Raw genomic sequence first — 19,926 nt, 5'->3', positions numbered from 1 at the left:
CCAGGGAGAGAGAAAAGACAGAGAAAGAGGGGCGAAAAGAGAGACAGGCAGGCAAGGGGGTGGTGGGCAAGAAGGGGAGGAGAGCAGGGGGAGAGAGAGGGAGGAGTGAGAAAGCTGGGCAGGAACAAGAGACAAAACAGAGATGAAGAAGAAACGGGAGAAAGGGGAGAGGGAGAGGTAAAAAAGAGAAGTGGAGAGGAGCAGAAAGGAGGAAGAGTAGAAAATGGGGGAGAGGGAGAGGAGAGAAGCCCAGGGGCAGGAAAGCAGAGGCAGCGCCAAGAGCTGGAGAGAGGGAAAGAGTGAGGGGCGACGAGGAGGACCGAGGGGCAACAAGGAGGATCGAGGGGCGGTGGGTGGGACCGTGTGCTAAGCCTTTTCTTTCTCCTTTTTGGGGTGGGCGGCGGATCTCCGCAGAGATAACCCAGTCAAGCCCCCTGCCCCCCGTCCCAGCGAGGGGCCGCAGCTGTATAAATACCGGGGGTGGGGGAGCTGGGCTGCCGCCCAGGGGTCAGCGACACCGGAGAAGGCTTTGCTGTCATTAGCTAATTGAGCCCCAGATGTTAAGAAAAGGTTACGTCCTCCTCCGGAGAGTTTTTCTTTTTAAACACTTTACACAGATTCCCCGGCCAAAATGGCCAGGAGGGGCCCGCCGCCCCCAGCCTCCCCTCCCGCCCCGCCCGCGGGCCCCAGCCCCGGGGCTCCCCGAAGCCGCCAGCCGCGGCTGCTGCCCCTGTAATCCAAGTGGCCTGCCCGGAGGTGCGGCCGCCAGGAGCGGCGGGGACCACCGGCGGCGGAGCCGGCCCCCGGCCCGGGCGGCAGACTGGGAGGTCAGCCCGGAGGGAGGGCGTTGGGGAGCGGGGTACCCCGGGGAGGGGGGCTCTCAGGCTCTTAATCCCCCTGAAGGTTGCAGATCAAAGGTGCTTGTACGAGGCCGAGGCGGGGCGGGTGGGTCGGGGGCCGGCTCGGGCCGCAGCCTTCCCCTTGCTCTGCGGGCTGGGGCTCCCGGGCCAAGGACCCCAGACCGACAGCCCTCGGGAGGTGGCTCCGGCTGCGGCGAGGACTGTGGGCCTCTCTGGCTCGGGTTCGCCTGCGGGAAGGTGGCCAAGGCGCCCCCACGGGCCTTCGTGGAACTTCCCCCTACCCGGGTCGAGGGAAGGGTGTAGGTGCCTGCCTCCCCCCACCCCAGAACAGAACGCTACAGTGCCAGGCACTTGACAGATATTCTTTCATTTAATCCTCACTGCGATCTAATGGGTTTTTAAAAAATTGTTATTATTATTAGCTCATAAACGAGGAAACAGGTTTCTAAGAGGTTAAAGCCGCTTGCCCAAGGACATACACCGCTAGAAAGTGACAGAGCTAGCATTCTACCAGGCTCAAAGCCCCGCCCTTCCCACCTGGCTACCCCCGCAGCCCCTCCACTCTTTCCTCTTCTCTCCCACCCTCTTCGTCTGTCCTCTCAGGCTCCTTCAGTTCCACAAGAACAACCCACCCACCTGTGGCCCTGGCGAGTGAGGCGGGGGTGGGGGGAGCAGGGCAGTGCCAAGGGTGCGGCCCATGTGGCAATAGCTACAGGCTAAATGTGAGGGATGGGGCTGGGCAAGCATGTGCCTGGGTTGAATCTGTGCTGAAAGAATGTTCGTATTCCCCCTCCCCAGAGGTGGGGCTCCCTGCTCAGAATAGAACCGAGCAAGTCAGAGCTAGAAGGGGCCTTCAAGACTGTGGGATCCAACCCTGTCTTTGAGATGAGGAAGCTGAGACAGGGAGAGGTAATGAGTCCTGCCCAAAGTCACACAGCCAGTTGGTGAGAGCAGGAATGAGAGGTCAGGTGATCAGTGAGTGCCTGTGTGGTGCCGGGCACTGGGATAGCTGCCACACTGCAAAGTGGGCACTATCTTCTCCATTCTAGAGATGTGGAAACTGAGGCTTAGAGAAGCTAAGTGTGCCCAGGGTCTCTCAGGTAGAAAGTGGAAGAGCTGGTTTTGAACCCAGATCTTTCTGACTCCAAAACGCCTTCCCTTTCCACCATCCCAAGAACACTGGGCTAAGGAGTAGAGATTGGTTGAGAGAGGGTCATGCACTGAACAACTCTAGAGACAGGAGGGAAAGGGGATGCAGGCTGAGGAGCATTCCATTCTGCAACCTGAGTAATCAGGTCCCTTCTCCACGGCCTCCTCGCTAAAATGGCCTAAATACTGAGGTCCTTCCAGAATCCCCTCTTGAGAGTATTGGTGGGAGGGGAGAAAGTGCTCTTCTGGGTTGCAAAAGTCTCCTGGGGTGGTGGCTCTTCTGGGTTGCAAAAGTCTGGAGATACAAGAGAGGGCTTCATCCACAGGCTTCCTCTGATTCCTGACCTGCAGGAGGCCACGGTTCAGCTCCAGGCAGGTGAAGGGGCCTTACAGCTTAGCTCCTTCATGCCAGAACCATACCTGGCTTCCCAGGGGCCACCAAGAGTGCAGTGTCCCTCCTCCCTGTCCCTATTGGATATGCCCTACCAGCCCGGCTCCATCCACAGACTCCTGAAGCTTCATCCTCATATTCCTCCCGCTTCGTAGTCCTGTCTACCTCTTCTTAGCTTCCTGCTGACTCCATTACACTCATTTATCCATAAGTGCATTCAACACAATTTATCAGGGGCCTGTACTATGTGTCAACACTGTGCCAGGCACTGGGGATACAGCTGAAAGCCAACTGTCCTTTTCGAGCTTGCAGCCCTGGGAGAGGGCAGAATTAACCAAGAAAATATGTGTGTAAGTGTCTAATAACAAATTGGTAAGCAGTGTGAAGGAAAGTACCCAGTGCTTTGAGAAGTTACATCAGTAAGGACACTGTGTGTATGGGATGATTATTGAGACTACAGAGGCTAAACATTACTATTACTAATAATTACCCAAAGAATGGGGCCAAGGCACCCCACTTGCAATCGTGCCCACACGCCATCTGTGATTCCATAGTGGATCTTCAGCCTTCCCCCAACGGTGGACTGCCCAGTCTGTCCTGGAGGGCCCAGCTGATATGGGCGAAAGTGGGGTGATCTGATGGTGGCCTCAATGCCAACAGTCCCCTCCATTTCCTGGGGCAGAGTTTGGGCTGGCCTGGTCCAGAGGTGGTAAGGAGGCCGAGGGAGAGGTTGTTCACCCAGGTAGCAGAACAGGGCCCAGGCTTGGGACTAGGAGGACTGGGTGCTGGGAGGGGGTGCAGCTAGAATGGGGGAAGGTGTCGTGCGCTCACCTTATGGGTATTTGGCATTGTCACTCAAGGAAAAATTACTCCCTGCTCTGCTTCCAACCAGATCCTCCCATCCACCCTCACACTGACACACATGCACTCTCTCTGGCCCTTGAGACAGGCCTGCCCAGTATGGTGAGCAGACCTTAGCGTGGGAATCAAACAGCCTTGGGCCTAAGTCCCACTCCAGCCAGTTCCTGACTGTGTGACCTCAGGCAAGGCTCCTGGTATCCCTGAGCCTCCTGTTCCTTTGTGTTCTTTGAGATGACATTAGCCTGTCATCTCCATGTGTGGCTGTAAGCATTCAATGAATCCTGGATAGAAAGCACCAAATACAGTACCTGGCCCATGGCTGGCCATTAATAAATGACAGCTGACACTCTGATTATATAACAGGATAATTAATATATAATGGTAATAAAAGAAACCTCATTCATGCCCTCTGGGCTCCCACCTGGTTCCCGAGCCTCTCTGGGAGGTCACTTCCACAGCCGACCTCTTGTGAAAGGGAGTTTTACAGATCTGTGAAAAATGTCTGGGCAGCCCCAGAACCTGTTGCGATAAAGGCAGGAGAGTCTGGGAGCCCCCCGTGTGTGCTGCTGGGCGTGCGGACAACGCCTCCTGATTTTGAACCCAAGGCCCTCTGAGCACAAGGCTAACATCTGTCCCACCATACTGGGTAGGGCCTGCTCCAGCTCTACAGTTTTCATAGGCTGGAGGTCTGGGCTAGAGAGGACTGGCCTAGCTGGGTCTTCTCAGCCAGCCAGGCACAGTCACAGCCACCACCACTGCTGCCGGTTCAGCCGCTGCAGGGCACAGAGCACACCTGGAACCCATTAGGCCCGGCCAGGAGCTTGTTCCCTCTCAGCATAAATAGAGTGAGTGGAGTTTGTTTTGACTACTTTAAATTGTGCAGATTTTAGAGCCTGAGAATTGGAACCCCCCAATGCCCTGATGGACAAACAGACCAAGAGACAGAGGGCTGAGGCAGCAGGAAGAGCCGAGTCCCGGCTAGTTCCTTGTCACCTTCCCTGCTTAGCTGGGCGTCTGGTCATGATCATCGCAGCCACTCTTCGTGGAGTGTGTGCTGCGCGCATGATGCTTGCTCGTGGGCCTTATCTTCCCAGCAACTATGCAAGGTAGAAATTACGGTCACTGACTTCCAGATGAGGAGGGGCAAGGACTTGCCCAAGGTCATTTGGCCTGTAAGTGGCAGGTCTGGATTCCATACCAGACGTGCCTGATGCCAAGGCCAGTGGGGGTCTTTCCAAGGGACCACCAAAGTGGGGTGGGGGAAAGAGCTCTGGGTCACTGTCAGAAACACAAGGCACACAGAGCTGATGTTGCTCAGACCCCGACCCCAGCCCAGAGGACGGGAGTCAACGTCTGTGCTGGGCTCCTTCTCAACCAAGTTGCCAGCGCCTGACCCCAACCGCCCCAGGCAGTGATGCCCCCCAGGTCAGGGTCAGGTTGACCTTGGCAGGAGGGAGAGCCTGCGGGCCCTGGGCGGCTGCCAAGACCTCTTGAAATGAAAGGGAACCTTGTCCTGTCCCACACAGGGCTCATTCTCTGAGCACTCTCAAGCCAGCCCAGCCCTGTGGACCAAGGCCCGATCCCTCTGTGCCAGCTATTCATAGACTCACGGAAGAGCATCCGTTGCCAGGGGCAGGGCCCTGAGAAGTCCCCGAGCCCAGCCCCCAAAGTTTACACTTGTGGAAACTGAGGCCCAGGGAGAGGAGGGACTCCCTCAAGGCCACACGATGAGTTAATGGCAGAGCAGAGACTCAAATCCCATCCCTGGCTTCCTAGGCCTGGGCCTTTTCCCCAGGATCCTGGGCCTCACCCCAAACAGGCAGCCCTGCCCCACCCCCTCCCTCATGGAGACATCCACAGCTATGCTCCCTGACCCCCTCTTCACTCCCACAGAGGGACCAGCAATAAATGCTTGTTGGAGTCTCCACTTTGAACTCTTCAATCATCCCAGCTACCCCAGCAAGAGGGGGCTGCCTTGGGAGGTCATGAGTACCCATCCCCGGGAGTGGCCAAGCAGAGTCTGGGTGCCATCTGTCATGGGGGTTGGAGAGGGGCTTTCTGCCCCTGGGAGAGGAGTGGGGATGCCACTGTCAGAGAAATGGTCTCTCTGGACCTTTCCAGCTGGCCTGACTGGGCTCCTCAGAGCCCTGGGGCAACAGGTGAGACCTAGAAAGCTTGAGGCCCAGAGGCCCAAAGGGCCGCCCCCGCATAATGTATGGACTCCATCCTTGAGGGACTGGTATGCAGTGGGGAAGACAAATCTGGAAAGATTCTGTTTGGGGAACTGTGCGCTGCCCACTCTCCCCCAGGGGCTTCTCACACCTCTCACCATTGAAAGCCCACACCTGCCAACGATGGCAGTTCTGGTCAGCACAAGAGCCACCAGGCATGGTCTCTGATTCCATTGTCCCTTGCATCCTGGGGCATGGATCCCTGGGGCGGCATCAGTGCATGGAAATCCTGGAGGTAGACAAGACTTCCTGGGAAACCCAGCTAGAGGTGAAACCCAGCTAGAGGTTTCAAGGGGGATCAGACCAGCCCAGCCAAATTATCCCCAGCCTGTGCCCCAGGTTTGGCCCAGCCCAGTGGGTTTGTTCAAACTCAAGAGTAAGGACCTGGCTGGGTACCGAGGCTCACATCTGTAATCCCAGCACTTTGGGAGGCCGAGGCAGGCGGATCACCTGGGGTCAAGAGTTGGAATATAGCCTGGCCAACATGGTGAAACCACGTCTCTACTGAAAATACAAAAATTAGCCAGGCATGGTGGCACGTGCCCAGCTACTCAGAAGGCTGAGGCAGGAAAATTGCTTGAACCCGGGAGGCAGAGGTTGCAGTGGGCCAAGATTGCACCACTGCATCTAGCCTGGGCCACAGAGCGAGACTCTGTCTCACAAAAAAAGGAAAAAAAAAAAAGAGTAGGGACCTGGAGTGGCCCGACTCGATGCCTCACCACACACCACCTAGGGATTTCTGTGAAGAGAGAACCTGAGGCCTGGAGAAGAAGGTGAGCCTTCGGGGATGGGAGGGGCAGGAGAGTGGGGGAAGGTCAGGGCAGGGGAAGGGTTGGTCAAAGTTATAAAATCTAGTTGTGAGAAAACATTATTACCCAGGAAATGAACACACTGCTGCCCTTCAGCCTCCCCTCGGAGGAACAGAACATAACACAAGTGTCAGCCCCTTCTGCTGGTTGAAATATCTCAGTGTACCTGAATGGGGATCTGGCTGAAGCCAGGTAAGGCCTGGGCTGAAGCAGGGACAGGAGGGCAGTACAAAGGGGTGCCGGGTGCTCAGTCAACAGCCACAGGAACCTGGATGGGGAAGGAGTGAGGGGGCAGGAATGAGACATTGGAAGGGGAGACTAGAGGGGGAGGGCACAGGAAACGACCTGTGATGGACCTTTGTGGGAGCAAGGACAGCAGGTGGTGAGACTTGGGGGTTGGAACAGCAGTGGCAGTTCATGTTCAAGTGCTCGTTGTTGGCGGCCCCCGGCTGGCTGCATCCTTCCTCCATGGTGCAGACCTTGGTGATGGCCAGCCAAAGCACATCCTAGGCCTCACGTGTCCCCTGGGGCAGTGGCCAAGTGGGGCAACACTCGGTGCAGGAAGACACCAGCCATGGCAGGAAGGATGAGTGGGCGCAGGAGAAGCAGGCATCTCAAGACTCTTGAAAATACTGAGGGAGTGGCTTGCGAAGGTTTCCTATGTCACCAGTTTGGGAGCTGCATCCACTTAATTAGCATCAGTAAAGGAAAGAGGGGATCTCTGGATGCCGTAAACACCCAAGAGGCAGACACAAAATAAACAATGGCCTTCCACTGAGAATCTGCGGGGCCAGGCACTTTACATACTGGCATTTCACTCACTGGCATAGGAGCGCTGCCAGGGAGCCAATATTTGCCCATTTCACAGATGCAGAAGCTGAGGATCCGAGAAGTTCTATGATCTGCCCATGGCCACAGTTACTAAAAGGTGGAGCCTAGACTTCTCACTGTTGTCCTACCAGCTCCAGAACAATATTCTTTCCTCTGCCAAGCATTGAGAGGGGCTGTGGTGTAGTGTCAGAGGAAGCCAAAGTGAGGTGGGACCTCTGTAAACATCCACTTCAACCTCACGGCCCCCGCAACCTGCACCCTGGGGGACAGAGACCAAGGCCCGGAGAGGTGAAATAACTTGTCTGAAGTCACAGGGTTCCCCAGGAGTTGAACCAGGCTTCAATCCATGGCAATAAAAGTGTTCTGAATTGTAGACAAGTGGGCCCCCCCCTTCCCCAATGATCTGTCACAGCCATGAGGGCTGGGCTCCCGTAGTTGTGAGGCCTAATTCTCAGACCCTTCCCCCACCACACACACACCTGTTGTTCTCGGGGGCTGGAGGCAGAACCCTCTGGGCAGGATGCTGCCCCTCGAATCAGCCTTTCCTCTCCTAAAGTCCATCTGATGGTCTGTGCCCCACCCCCACATTGGCCCCCAAGGGACCCTGGGTCTCTGGTTTTTGTCAGGCCTGAGACGTTGGTGGGATTGATTTATGAGAGGAGCCCCTACCCCCACTCACCCTGAGCCCTTGGTCCTCCTCCCCCTTCTCCTCCTCTTCCTCTTCCCACTCCTCCTCCTCCGCCTGACTGCCTGCTCAGTTTTCCACAGAGTCAGGATTTCCCTGGGGCTGGGGGCTCCAAGCCAAGAACAACAGAAGACCGGTTCCCCCACCTCTCCTGCCCCTCCCATCCCCCTCCAGCTCACTCCCCCGAAAGAGCAGGTCCCCCTTCGTTGAGAGGAGGGGTTGAGAGTGGAGGTCCAGGTCCAGCCTGATCCTTAAGGAAGGGCCAGAAGGGAGTCCCCTCCCAGCAGGCGCCAGGGCTGGCCACCCCCTCCATGGCCTGAGAAGCGCCTTTCTTCCAGGGCTCCCCTGGAAGTCCACGCTGGGGTGTGGAGACAACAGAGAGAATCCTGAGGGCTCGCTGGGGTGGAATAGGGGGTGTTGAGAGTAGTGAACGAGACAGACCCACACTCGGAGGGGCAGGTAGGAGATCCTGGGAATCCACGTGGTGGGGAGCAGAGAGGATTCTGGAAGCCTCCACTGGGGCTGGGAGGGGGAAGGTCAGAGGCCTCTGAGACCCCACACTGGAGGTGGGTAGGAAGTAAGGTCCCCTCTGGATGCTTAGTGGGCACAGAGAAGAATAAGAAGGGGGGTCCCAACCAGTCTCTGGTTCCCTCTCCATGGGGCGAGACTTGAGTCAAAGGAAAGGCTATGGGGACAGAAAGTGGGAGCGCCTGTCGTGGAAACAAGGGCAGAAGCCTGCACGATGAGGGCAGTGTTTAAGGAACGGGATGCCAGACAGACCCCAGGATTGGGGTCGCAAGAGGGAAGGGTCGGGCAGGAAGCGGGAGGTCACGGCTTGTGTCTGAGTTCGGCTTCTGTCTGGCTCTGAGGCTTGATTTTGGCCCTTCAGTCTAGAAGAGGAGGTGTGGGGACTGGGTGGCTAAGGAACCCTGTTTTTCTCCCTGAGAAGGGGCCCAGACACTCAGACCACTATAGGCAGACAGACAGAGCTTCTCCCTAGAAAGCGCTCCCTGGGGCTCTGCCTGCAGCCTGCCAGCTGGACAGGAGAAGCCTACTGTCCTGCGCCTGGCCACTCCCCACTTAGTCAGTCCATCCCCAGCTGCCTCCACCACTCCTCCATCAGCCCAGGCCTCCATCCCTCTCAGCGGCGTGAACCTGGCTGACCCTCCAAGGTTGCCTGTCTCACACAGCAGCTCCTTTGATAGGTCTCTGAAGGCCTCGTTTTCCTCCATGCATGCTCTTGCCTGGCCCCGCAGTGAACCCCTGTGTCCACCCTCCCCAGTGTGTGACCCAGGCCTATCCTCAGCTCTGACTAGGGAGGAGAGGCATTCCCCTAGCAACCCTGCGAGAGGCCCCCAGACACCCCCCTAGTTAGGACAAGGAGTGAGAACCCATTTGTTAAGGCATACCCCAAAGCCTCAGAGATTCACCCCTCCCTCCCTAGCCCCCAGCCCAGTTCATCCCTGGAGCTGTTGGCATGGGACTTAGAAGGGAAACAGAAAAGTGAGAATGAATACTTGCTGAGCTGGGGAGCCACAGGGCCTCCTCTGCTCCATAAAAAGGCAGGGACAGGACTGTGGCAGGGTCACAGCTGGGTGGCCCTGGAAGGTGTCAGCAATGGACTGGATCCCTTCACTCCAGGACAGGCCAGAGGGTGGCTGGGGTGCCTGGCAGCTCCCTCCTAGGTCATGGCAGGCAGACCACAGAGTGGCAGGAGGAACAGGGATGACTGCCCCCTTTTTCCCATCACAGCCCAAGGCTGGGCTCCTCCTGGGGCCACACATCAGAGTCCTGTCCAACCCCTCCCCTGCTCAGCCAGGGCCCAACCTCCTCCACTCCCCCTGTACTCCCGGCCCCAGGCCAAATCTGGCCAATTTGTTCTGAGACAGGGTTCTGGTTTCATAGCCTCATTTGAATGATTTCCAACCAGAATTCCTGCCTCCTCCTTTGCAAAGCTCTGCCCTCACCTCCCCCCAGACTCCCTTCTGCCTGAGCTGCCGCCTCAGCCAAGGCGGGTGTGGAAGGAGAAGGGATGACCCACACACACACTTGAAATGACACCACTGTCCCCACCACTCCTTCCTGGGCACTTCAGCCTCTACACAACTTACAGCCCCCAAAGAGAGGCCCCTGTGGGCTGGCCGCTCGCGCTGTCTGCCTCAGCCTTGAGAACGTGGGAGCTCAGGCTCTGCCGGCCGCCCCTTTGAGTACCTCAGTCACCCTGCCTGTGCCAGGAGCAGATGATCTAGAGCTGAGCCCAGTGTCCGGCCTTGACCATAGGAGAGTTTAGCTGCCACAGCAGAGCCGATCACTATCCCAGGAGCCATCCCTGCCTGCCCCTTAACACACTCTCTATTCCCGCAGGAGCAGAAAAGGCTCTGTTTCAGATCCCATAGCAAGGGTACGAAGAGGAAGCAGCTCCTTATGCGCAGGCAGAGCTGTGAAAAAAAATTCCAGGCAGCCCCCAGGGTGCTGTTTCGTGCTGCCTAACACTCCTTACCAATGGGAGGATCGTGCAGAGCTCCCGTTCCCCCACCTCTTTCCAGAGACTGGGTTGTGATCCACAGTTAGATCCCCATGGGGTAGGAGGTCTCTTTCTCCAGGCCCTTTGCCCAGAAGGTAGACAGAACACATTTTCTCCTTTTGTTTACAAAAGAGGAGTATGAGGCCCAGAGATATTTAGCAAATTGTCTAAGGTCACACAGCAGGACCTGACCCACAGGCCCATGTGCCCACCACACTACATGGCAGGGTCTGGGCTGTGGAGGGCACTCCTCCACCCAGGAGGCCTGGGCCTCCTCCCCGCTAGGGGCTGCTGAGCCACCATCTGCAAACCCTTCCCCTGGGAGGTGATGCTGGAGATGGGTCCAACAATCTGTTCTACATTCAGGTGTGTCATTTCCTGAGCCCTCTGGTGGGGGCTGGGGCTGGGTATGGCCCTGTTGGCACTGCTTCAGCATCTTCATTTTGCACACAGAGACCTGGGGCTCCTGGCGCAGAGCTGCATGCGGAGCCAGGAGTCCTGCCGCTGAGTCAAACCGAACAGTACCCGGGTCCTCATGCCTCCAGAGCCTCTCACCTCCTCTCTCAGACCCCAGGGGGTCCCTGTCCTCAAGGCCCTCTCTCTAAGGTACCACTCTAGTCAAGAGTCAGACACCCTGGGTTCTATCCAGGCTTTAACCCTTACCAGACATGTGACCTTGGGTAAGTTACTTCCCTGAGCCTCAGTTTTCTTGTCTGTAAAACGGAGTGGCCAGGCGCGGTGGTTCACGCCTGTAATCCCAGCACTTTGGGAGGCTGAAGCAGGTTGATCGCTTGAGCTCAGGAGTTCGAGACCAGCCTGGGCAACATGGTGAAACCCCATCTCTACTAAAAATACAAAAAAAACCAAAAACCAAAAAACAAAAACAGAAAAAAAAGTAAAATGGAGTAATAAAGTCATCCTTGCAGGATTGCTGTGAAGATGAAATTACATAAAAAGTCTAGTGTAAGACACAGTCTTTCTCCACCTATCCTATGTTCAAGGTCAGTACAAGCCAGTTTAGGAGGAGGAAATGCCTCCAGCAGAGCCAAAAGTCCAGGTGTTGAATATTGTCAATACCTGCAAGACCCAAGGCAAGCTTCCCAGCCTCTGTTCTTCCATCTGAAAACATGTCAATGTGATGGAGAGAAAATGAAACAAGGGAGGTAAAAGAAAGTCGTGGGGAGGAAAAAGGTACAAATCCCAGTTCCTGGCTCCCTTTAATCCACATCCTCCACAGCGAGGTCCAGCTGTGGGAGAAGTCCTGTTCCTGGGGATGGGCTGGGGGAGGAGCCCTCTCCCCACTTCCTCCCAGGGCCATTCTGGGGTCTCCATGACTCATCCTCCACAACAAGCAGCTCTTCTTTGTTTCATACAGAGCTGGGTGCCCTGTCTGCTGGCACCTGGCCCAGAGAGGGAGGGTCGGGCTAGAGGGAGGGGCTCCAAGGCTAGCTCCTGCCCCCACCCGCACCCTGATGCTACTTCCTCCAGCTCTGGCCTTGGGAAATCTCCAAGGACCCGAGCCTGCGGGAGCAGGAAGCAGGAGGGGGCTTCTCGAGGAGAACCCTATGAGGCTGTGCTAATGCCCAGAGGCCATGGGGACCCTAGACCATGATGCCATCATCCCCGCACACCAAACTCACACTTCTTCCTAAACAGACACAAAGTGAAGCTTCCTTAGTTTATCTTCCCCTACCAAAAATGAAATCTACATATTTTATTATTTCTTGAAGGCATTTGTGCTTTCTTTGCAACATCTTGTTTTATTCTCTCAGTGACCGTGTGAGGTAGATGTTGCTGGTTCATTTTACAAATGAGGAAAGTCAGAAAGGTTAAGTGAACTTGTCCAAGGTCACACAGCTCCTAGATAGTAGAACTGAACTGAAGGCCTGCAACTGGGCCTATCAGACTATGAACTGGGGATTGCCACCACTTCCCCAGATGCCTTTGGAGGTAGGTCCTATTTTTTAACTCAGCAAGTCCTCATTGCTTCCTGCCTGCCTGAATGCTACTTCCTAAAAACCACTTTTTTACCTGGGAATAGATATGGCTGTCCTGGCAGCCCCACAAAACACTCCTCCTTCCCCTGACACTTCCTGTGATGCCAATAAGTTTCCCACTCTAATCACAACCCTCCAAACCTGGCATCTGCTTTGGTCCTGGGGTTTCTGGATTAGGACTGTTAAAGCGATTATAACAGGGGAGAGAGGGAGAAGCCATCCACACATCCATTAATCCATCCATTTACTCATCCACTCATTGATCGAACCATTCATTCATCTAGCGATCCTGCTATCTAGTCCTTCAATTATCCATCCATTCATTCATCTTTTCATCCATATTCCCATTGTCTATCCATTCATCCATCCTACCATTCATCTTTCCATCCACCCATCTATTTATCTATCCATCTATTCATTCACCCATTCATCTACTTATCTATCTTCTCATTTCTGCTTGTGTATTGATTTAGTTTTCATTTCTTCTTTCTTTTTTCATCATTCTTTCTACTCTTCCATTCTTCTATCTATTCATGTATTTTTCTACCTACCCCTCCATCCATCCACCCATTCATCCATGCATTCTCTCATCCACACACCTGCCTGTCTATTCTTTCATCCACCCTACCATTCATTCAACCCTCCATCCATTCACATGTCCACTTCTCTGTCCACTCACCTACCCATCATCCATTCAGCCAACTATTCATCATTCATACATAGTTTGTCTATCTACTCCTCTATTCATCCTTCCATTCATCTTCTGATCTGCCCATTCATTCACCCATCAACTTACCTACTTGTCCATATGTACATCAACATATACATATTTTACTCATACATCCATCCAGGTACTATATCCTCACATCCATTATTTCATTCATCTATTAATTCATTTATGTTAAATGGAATAACCTAATAAGGTTCTTAGCACAGTGCCTGACACAGTAAGCATTCAGTAATGGTAATTGTAGTTGTTCTTATTCTAAGATTTCATTTGAGAAGCTGATGGTGTGGGAGTAGACAAACAGGAACATTTACAATGCAGTGTGGTGAAAGCTCTTGGAGAGGCATGAACAATGCCTGCATGAGCAGCCAGGAGGCATTCCCTCATACCCACCTCAGCTTCTACTCTTCTCTCCACAACTCTCCCAGGCAATCCTGCCCACTATCCGTACTTCATCCCGGGCTTCCATGCTGTGCCTAGTGGCTCCAGATCAGATATTCAATGGCTTATGGGGCATCTCTCCTGGCAAGCCTCAAACTGAACTCATTATTCTCCTTCACACTTACTATTCCTTCTCCTGTACTTTCTGGATCCACAAGTGGTACCAAAGTATGCCCTACTGCCAGTCCCCAAAATCACCCACGCTCAGACATCTATTATCTCTCCCCTCCCACATCCCATCAGTCACCAAGCACGTTGCTACTTACCTTTGCAAGATCATTCACACCCGTCACCTCGGCAGCACCTCCTCCTCACCCCATCTCCAACCAGGACCTTCTTACCCTTCACCTAGACTGTGGCATCTTTCTCTGCCTTCCTGCCACTATCTCTACATCCTCCAGTCCCTCCCACACCTGCCTCACTCCTCTTCCCTAAACACTGTCCTCATGATGGCACTATCCTCAAAATCCATCAGTGACACCAAGAATATTCCTATATCACCCTGTTGCATTTCCTTCTCCTCCACTGGCCTGTGGACTCCTTGAGGGGGCTCACTTATCTCCATTGCCTGGCAAAGAAGTCTCAGTGAGTGTTTGTTGAGAGGCTGCATTATTTTAGTACATTTGAAGGTGAGAAACTCTGCTGAGAATGGAAGAAGGTACAACTGGGGCCTTGAGTAGTGTAGAAAAGCCTGTACCAGCTGTTGTGGGGGAATGTTCCTGGAAATTAGCAAAACAAGAAAAGGATTATTCAGAGAGATGGTGGTGGGGATGTTTGGGAGTGGGAGTAATCCAGGTTGGGCTAGGAGAGAAGAGCATCTCAGAAGGTCCACAGGTGGGGAGAAGAAGGGGTTTGGGGGCCACATTTTGAAACTAGGCAGAGAGGAAGAATGGATGAGAGCCTGCAATATCTGACTTGCAATCTTGGAGGAGATGGCTACATGATGACCAGGCTCAAAGGGTAGCCTAATGTGCTGTCAAGAGGCCAACTAGGAATGGTGGAAGTCATGGCAGGTGAGAGGTCAGCATCTGGGTAGGAGAGCCAAGAGGCCGGAGCCAAGAAGAATCTGGTCAGCCAGATACCAAGTTTCAGAAGCCAGAGTGTGAGCTGACCTGGGCTTGGAAAGGCCATGGGAGGTGAGGCTGGGAAGAAGGCAGGAGCAGGGAGTATAAAGGAAGACCTCTGTAACAGAGGGGGCTTCGAAAGGAAGTGTAGGGGATGTTTGGAGAACAATGGCCGGGAGTGGTGCTGGGGTGGCAGTGGGGAAGGAGTGGCAGGGTGTGTGGGAGGCAGTGGTGTCTGGCCAAAGCCAACTCCAGTACCCCTCACATTCCTGCAGACACACCCTTTCTGGTCCCTTCAGGCAAGTGCCACCTTTCTTACCTGTCCCAAGTTCGGTGCCCCAGAAGGGAGAGGGATTCAGGGAGAGTTGACTCTTGCCTTTCTCCTTCTCTCTGCCAAGCCAGGACAAAGTAGGGAAGGAGGTCTCTTCAGCCCCCAGTAGTCAGGGTCAGGGCAGCCACCTCTGGACTGATGTCACCGAAGGCCTCCAGCCAGATCCTGAGTCTGTTTTCATTCCTGCTTTATGAGATGGGAATAATGAATGAGAAACAGAGAGGGGCAGGGAGAGACGGTGGAGGGAGAGAGCCCCTTGCCCGTCTGCCCCACCCCCAAGCTAGAACCTGGGCTGTGCTCCTGACAAGTGCCTTCAGTGCCTGGGTGCCCAGCTTCCCTCCAATCTCTCTCCTCCCCTCTCTGAAAAAATGAAAGCTGAAGCAGCCCTTAAAATATGTGCAACTAAGGGGCAGGAGGGGTCACTCCGAAGTGGGCAGGAAGGGCCGGAGTGTGTCATCCAAGTGGAGCACTTCTGGGTTTCCCTGGACCCCCTTCCTAGGTATCCTGTTGTAGGGGAAGAACACAGAACTGGGGACAGGGTAGATGGGATCTGGATTTTGTCTCTGTCAGGGACTGGCTCTGTGATCTTCGGCAAGTCATTTAACCTCTCTGAGCCTTTCCTTGGAGGCACAGAGTGCATCGCGTATTCAGAAACCCTTGTGGACAGATGTGCCTTGCAGCAGAGAAGACGTAGAACAAAGGGCTGAGGAAGTAGCAACATAGAGGGTGCCCGAGGAACTCTGTGGAACCAAGAACTGCTGAGGCCAGAAGCCCAAGACTACTCCTCTGATCTGTGAGAAGCAGGTGGCCCCCGCCTGGGGATGACTTACGGAAAAGGGAAGGCTTGGGCAATATCATATGTTCATGACCGTGTTCCTTCCTCATCCTCTGAGTTGGAATGAGGGCCCCTAGCCTGCCCTGCTCTCATGGGCCCTAGGACCTTTGCATATACCACTCCCTTCTCTCTTCTTGCTAACTGCAACAGAGCCACCAAGATTGAATTCAAGAATTGGGTTCAGTGGCTCACGCCTGTAATCCCGGCACTTTGGGAGGCCAAGGCAGGCGGATCACTTGAGGTCAGGAGTTCGAGACCAGCTTGGCCAACATGGCGAAACTCTGTCTCTACTAAAAATACAAAAAAATTAGCCAGGCGCAGTGGCAGGCCCCTGTAATCCAGGCCACTTGGGAGGCTGAGGGAGGAGAATTGCTTGAACCCGGGAGGCAGAGGTTGCAGTGAGCTGCGATTGCGCCATTGCACTCCAGCCTGGGTGACAGAGCAAGACTTCATCTCAAAGAGTGAAAAAAAAAAAAAAAAGAATCAACTTCTCGGAGCCCTTTTTGACAGTATTTTGGCCTAGGTCCCTTCCTTACAGCACTTGGAATGCTTACCCAGGTATAGAACTTACCCTGTGGCACTTACCACATTGCATTCATTGGTTTATATATCAGGGACCCTCTCAGCTGTGCACACCTCCAGGGAGTGGGGGCTGTAAGCTGGTTTATCCCCATTATCCCCAGCTCCTTACACTGGACCTGGTCTATAGAACTCCCCAGTGAAAGTATGTTGAATAAATGAATGAATGAGTTGGGGAGTGAATGAAGATATGCTCAGGGTCAGAGACTAAAAGGTTAAAAGGACCTGGAGGGTAATGGGGGGGGAGGTCCCAGCTCCCTCTGCTGGGCATCAAATAAAGGGTCAGAGAGCCCCCAGCCCTGCCCAAGACTAGCTGAGGTCCCTAGAACTGTGATTTAGTTCCACAACACTCAACTTGGTTTCTGTAACATTTACCTCGACCTGTAATTAGATACAATTATCTGCATGTATATTTGAATCACATCCCTGTTCCCTATTAGACTTGAAGCTCTTTGAAGCATTGATCTTCTATGTTCTTGCTCATCGCAGTATCCCCAGTGCCCAGCACAGTGCCTGGCACACAAGAGTTCTCTAGTACACACTTGAAGAATGACTATTGGAGGGAAACAGTTCCATTTCCCCAAGCGGGCCCAGGATCAGTGTGCTGAGAAAAAGCCAGAAGGCTTGAGCCACACTTGCCCTCTCAGCAATGTGCCACATTCCCGTGGCCTTGAAACCATCCAGGCCCCAGCAGCCCTACCCCAAGAACTGATCCAGGGCCCGGGCTAGGCCTGCAGCAAAACGTCCAGGAGCCCCGTGGGTGGGACCTCTTTCTCTGCCCCTTTAGCTTCCTCACCCTCTTCCCTTCCAGAGAGACCTGAATGGAGTTGGTGGATTTCTCCTAGTGCCTTGGTTTATTCCATCCCTGCTATGTGCCAAGCACTGTTCAGCATTTTCCTATTTGCTTCTATATTTTCTTCAAACTTCATACAAATAAAAAATAGCTAACATTTTTGAGCACTTACTACAATCCTGGCACATACTTTACATGTATTTACTGATTTAACAATCTCATGATATAGAAATGATAACTAGACCTTTTTATAACCGAGGGCATTGAGGCAGAGAGGTATAGAAACAAAAGAGATGGGCTTTGAACCCCGGTCTGCCCGTACATAAATAGGCAGCCCTTCCCATGGCACTACCCACATTTTCTGGGTTATAATCCAAGGTCTGGCCACTCAGGCTTAGGTCTAAGGACTGCTATCCAGGTCCCTCTCCCTCACCTGCTGTCCTGGGCACCTCTCCCTGTGCTCAGGGGCTGAGCACAGACTAAAGCACCTTTGCTCCCTAGCTGTTCCTACTCTCTGAGCTCAGGCATAGTGAGGGCAAGAAGTGGTTCCTTTGGGGCTATAACTGCCCCCATGGGGCAAGTGGAATGAGGGAATCAAGGGGGAGCAGCCCCTTCCTAAGCCTCAACAACCCCTCACTCCCACCGACTTCCTTTTAGCCCTAACTTGGGAGATCTAATTTTCTGCCCCCAGGAAGTGTGAAAGTAACCAACACTAGGCCTACTAAAATCTCATTCCCTCTCACTCCTTATCTGTCCCCAGAAGAGCCAGACAACTCCTGAGGCGCCCTCTCTCTTCTGTCTCTTCCTCTGCTTTAATCATAGCCCTCCCTCCTTGCAATCCTGCTGGGGGTTCTGAGGACTCCTCCCAGCCCTTTCCAGTGAGACACAGGTTAGTTAGGTGAAGCGGTTCCGGTAGGAAGTGCGCTGGGGGCGGGAGGCGCCTTCCAGGAAGGGGATGGCTTTTCTTCCCTCTCTGCATCCCTTCCCCTACCCGTTCTGCCATGGGAGACTCTTAGGGCGTGTGGGCTTGGAAGGTGGGGCCTAGAGGGTCAAGTGACTGAGGACGAATGACCGTGAGTGAGGGAGTAAGGGCTGTGCTGTGCTGTAGCTTGGGTCAGTGAAGTGTGCCTGTCAGCTGTTTCCGTGGGCAAGTGGCAGGAGAGGGCACGCATGCAGGCGAGGATACCTGGATACAGGAGGAGCGAGGTATGCGTGGTGGCTGCACAAGGCACAGCCGACAGAGTACCTTACTTCCCCCGGACCTCTGGGCTCAAGACATCCCTCGAGATCCTCGACCTGGGGCGCACAGTCCAAGAGTTCCCCTGATCGTGTGGTTTCCAGGGCCCCTCCCGCCTTGGCGCTAAACGACCACGATCTTGCCCTCCCTGCGGACCCAGTAGAGGGCGATGTCACACCTATGCGAGTGGAGCCCCCACCCCAGCATCTCCGCGCCCTCCACCCAGACTCCCGCTATAAAGGTCAGGGCGATGGCACAGGATGGCGAGGAAGGCTTCGCAGGACTCCCGGGCCACGGATCCCTCCCCATTCCCTAGCTTCGAGAGTAGGAAGTGGACCCTTGAGCAGGAGCTCCGCGCGCCCCCTCCGCTTTATTTGCGCCTGCAGCCGGGGAATGCTGAGCGGCTGTGCAGGAGGCCACTCGGCACCGCGTCCCCTCCCCCGGCCGCCCGCCACACCTCGCCCCGTTGACAGCTCCGGCGCCTAGTCCAAGGGCCACCTTGGGCCCCCGCATCGCCCGCCCCTGCCCCCGCACAGCCCCTCCCCCCCACTAGGGGAGGAAGGAGGCCTCGGCGGAGAGGCTGCGTCCCTTCCCCTCCCCTCCCCGCGTCCGCCCCGGGGACGCAGAGAGCTTAGCCGTGCGGGGCGCCCCTCCCCCGGGCCGGCTGCGGCGGCGCGGCTGGGCTCCGTGGGGGGAATACTAAGGAGCGGGCGCCGCCGAGCAGCCCCAGCGCGGGAGCGCGCGGTGAAGGACGGGGGCGGCCTGAGGAGCCCGCGCCGCCGCCAGCTGTGCCAGGGCCGCTGCCAGGGCCGCTCCCAGGCTCCTCCGATCGCCGTCGGCTTCCGCGGCCGGGAGTGCGCCACGCAGCAGACCCTGCAACCTTCGCCCGCGGCCTCCTCCGCGCGGCCTCCCTGGGCCTTCACCCCAGAGCCTGAAATCACGGTCGCATGCTTCCAGGCCTGCGGCTCCGCAGACCCCTAGGTGCAGCCTCTCGCTTAGATTTCCCCTGGGAAGCTCTGCGCTGCCTGGACGCGTCCAGGGAGAGGTGTGGGGCCGCGACACGTGAACCTCTCATCTACATGGCGTGGTGTCTGTCCATGCCTCTGTGCCTACCCAGGGACCCTACCCAGGGTATGCAGGTCTCTCGGAAAGCACAAAGCTTTGCTGCCCAAGGATGCCTCCCGATACTGGGAACATGACTGCACTTCCCCCCTCCCCCGCCTGTTCCTGCGTCCGAAGGGCCTCTGAGGGCCCCCCACCACGCTTTCTCCTTTGACATTTCCAGAAGCTGTTTTCCTAACCCTCTCCCCGGTTCTTGTTATTTATCCTCTGAACCTTTCAAGTATGCAGGCAGTCTCTGGGTGGGAATCACAGCCGCGGGCCTCACTTACTGGCTCAGCGACTTTGGGCAAGTTACTTAACCTCTCCTTTTCCTCTTCTGTAAAAAGCAGTTAAAAATACTTCCTTGCCTGGCTGGGTTGTTGTGAGATTAAATAAGATCCGTGTATAAATGGAGCATTTAGCCCAGCGCCTGGGCATAGGAAGCCTCAGTGAGGAGCAGCCGAACTTCCGGGCCTCAGC

The 19,926-nt window shown here is 55.0% G+C and overlaps 6 annotated features.

The window, feature by feature from the left end:
* Nucleotides 4,683-4,977: a silencer, noted in NCBI's record as "tiled region #3316; HepG2 Repressive DNase matched - State 9:DNaseU, and K562 Repressive non-DNase unmatched - State 21:Repr". NCBI's record gives its function as "represses a minimal TATA promoter and a strong SV40 promoter by Sharpr-MPRA in HepG2 and K562 cells {active_cell/tissue: HepG2 | K562}" and the evidence as "EXISTENCE:reporter gene assay evidence [ECO:0000049][PMID:27701403]".
* Nucleotides 7,483-8,104: an enhancer, noted in NCBI's record as "H3K4me1 hESC enhancer chr3:184312422-184313043 (GRCh37/hg19 assembly coordinates)". NCBI's record gives its function as "activates a minimal SCP1, AML or CMV promoter by ChIP-STARR-seq in primed H9 embryonic stem cells {active_cell/tissue: H9 hESC(primed)}" and the evidence as "EXISTENCE:reporter gene assay evidence [ECO:0000049][PMID:30033119]".
* Nucleotides 8,105-8,727: an enhancer, noted in NCBI's record as "H3K4me1 hESC enhancer chr3:184311799-184312421 (GRCh37/hg19 assembly coordinates)". NCBI's record gives its function as "activates a minimal SCP1, AML or CMV promoter by ChIP-STARR-seq in primed H9 embryonic stem cells {active_cell/tissue: H9 hESC(primed)}" and the evidence as "EXISTENCE:reporter gene assay evidence [ECO:0000049][PMID:30033119]".
* Nucleotides 18,372-18,887: an enhancer, noted in NCBI's record as "H3K4me1 hESC enhancer chr3:184301639-184302154 (GRCh37/hg19 assembly coordinates)". NCBI's record gives its function as "activates a minimal SCP1, AML or CMV promoter by ChIP-STARR-seq in naive H9 embryonic stem cells {active_cell/tissue: H9 hESC(naive)}" and the evidence as "EXISTENCE:reporter gene assay evidence [ECO:0000049][PMID:30033119]".
* Nucleotides 18,888-19,403: an enhancer, noted in NCBI's record as "H3K4me1 hESC enhancer chr3:184301123-184301638 (GRCh37/hg19 assembly coordinates)". NCBI's record gives its function as "activates a minimal SCP1, AML or CMV promoter by ChIP-STARR-seq in primed H9 embryonic stem cells {active_cell/tissue: H9 hESC(primed)}" and the evidence as "EXISTENCE:reporter gene assay evidence [ECO:0000049][PMID:30033119]".
* Nucleotides 19,404-19,920: an enhancer, noted in NCBI's record as "H3K4me1 hESC enhancer chr3:184300606-184301122 (GRCh37/hg19 assembly coordinates)". NCBI's record gives its function as "activates a minimal SCP1, AML or CMV promoter by ChIP-STARR-seq in primed H9 embryonic stem cells {active_cell/tissue: H9 hESC(primed)}" and the evidence as "EXISTENCE:reporter gene assay evidence [ECO:0000049][PMID:30033119]".

The sequence above is a fragment of the Homo sapiens genome, chromosome 3 (genome assembly GCF_000001405.40).
Source record: "Homo sapiens chromosome 3, GRCh38.p14 Primary Assembly".
NCBI lineage: Eukaryota > Metazoa > Chordata > Mammalia > Primates > Hominidae > Homo > Homo sapiens.
This window is presented reverse-complemented; position numbering and strand designations above follow the sequence as displayed.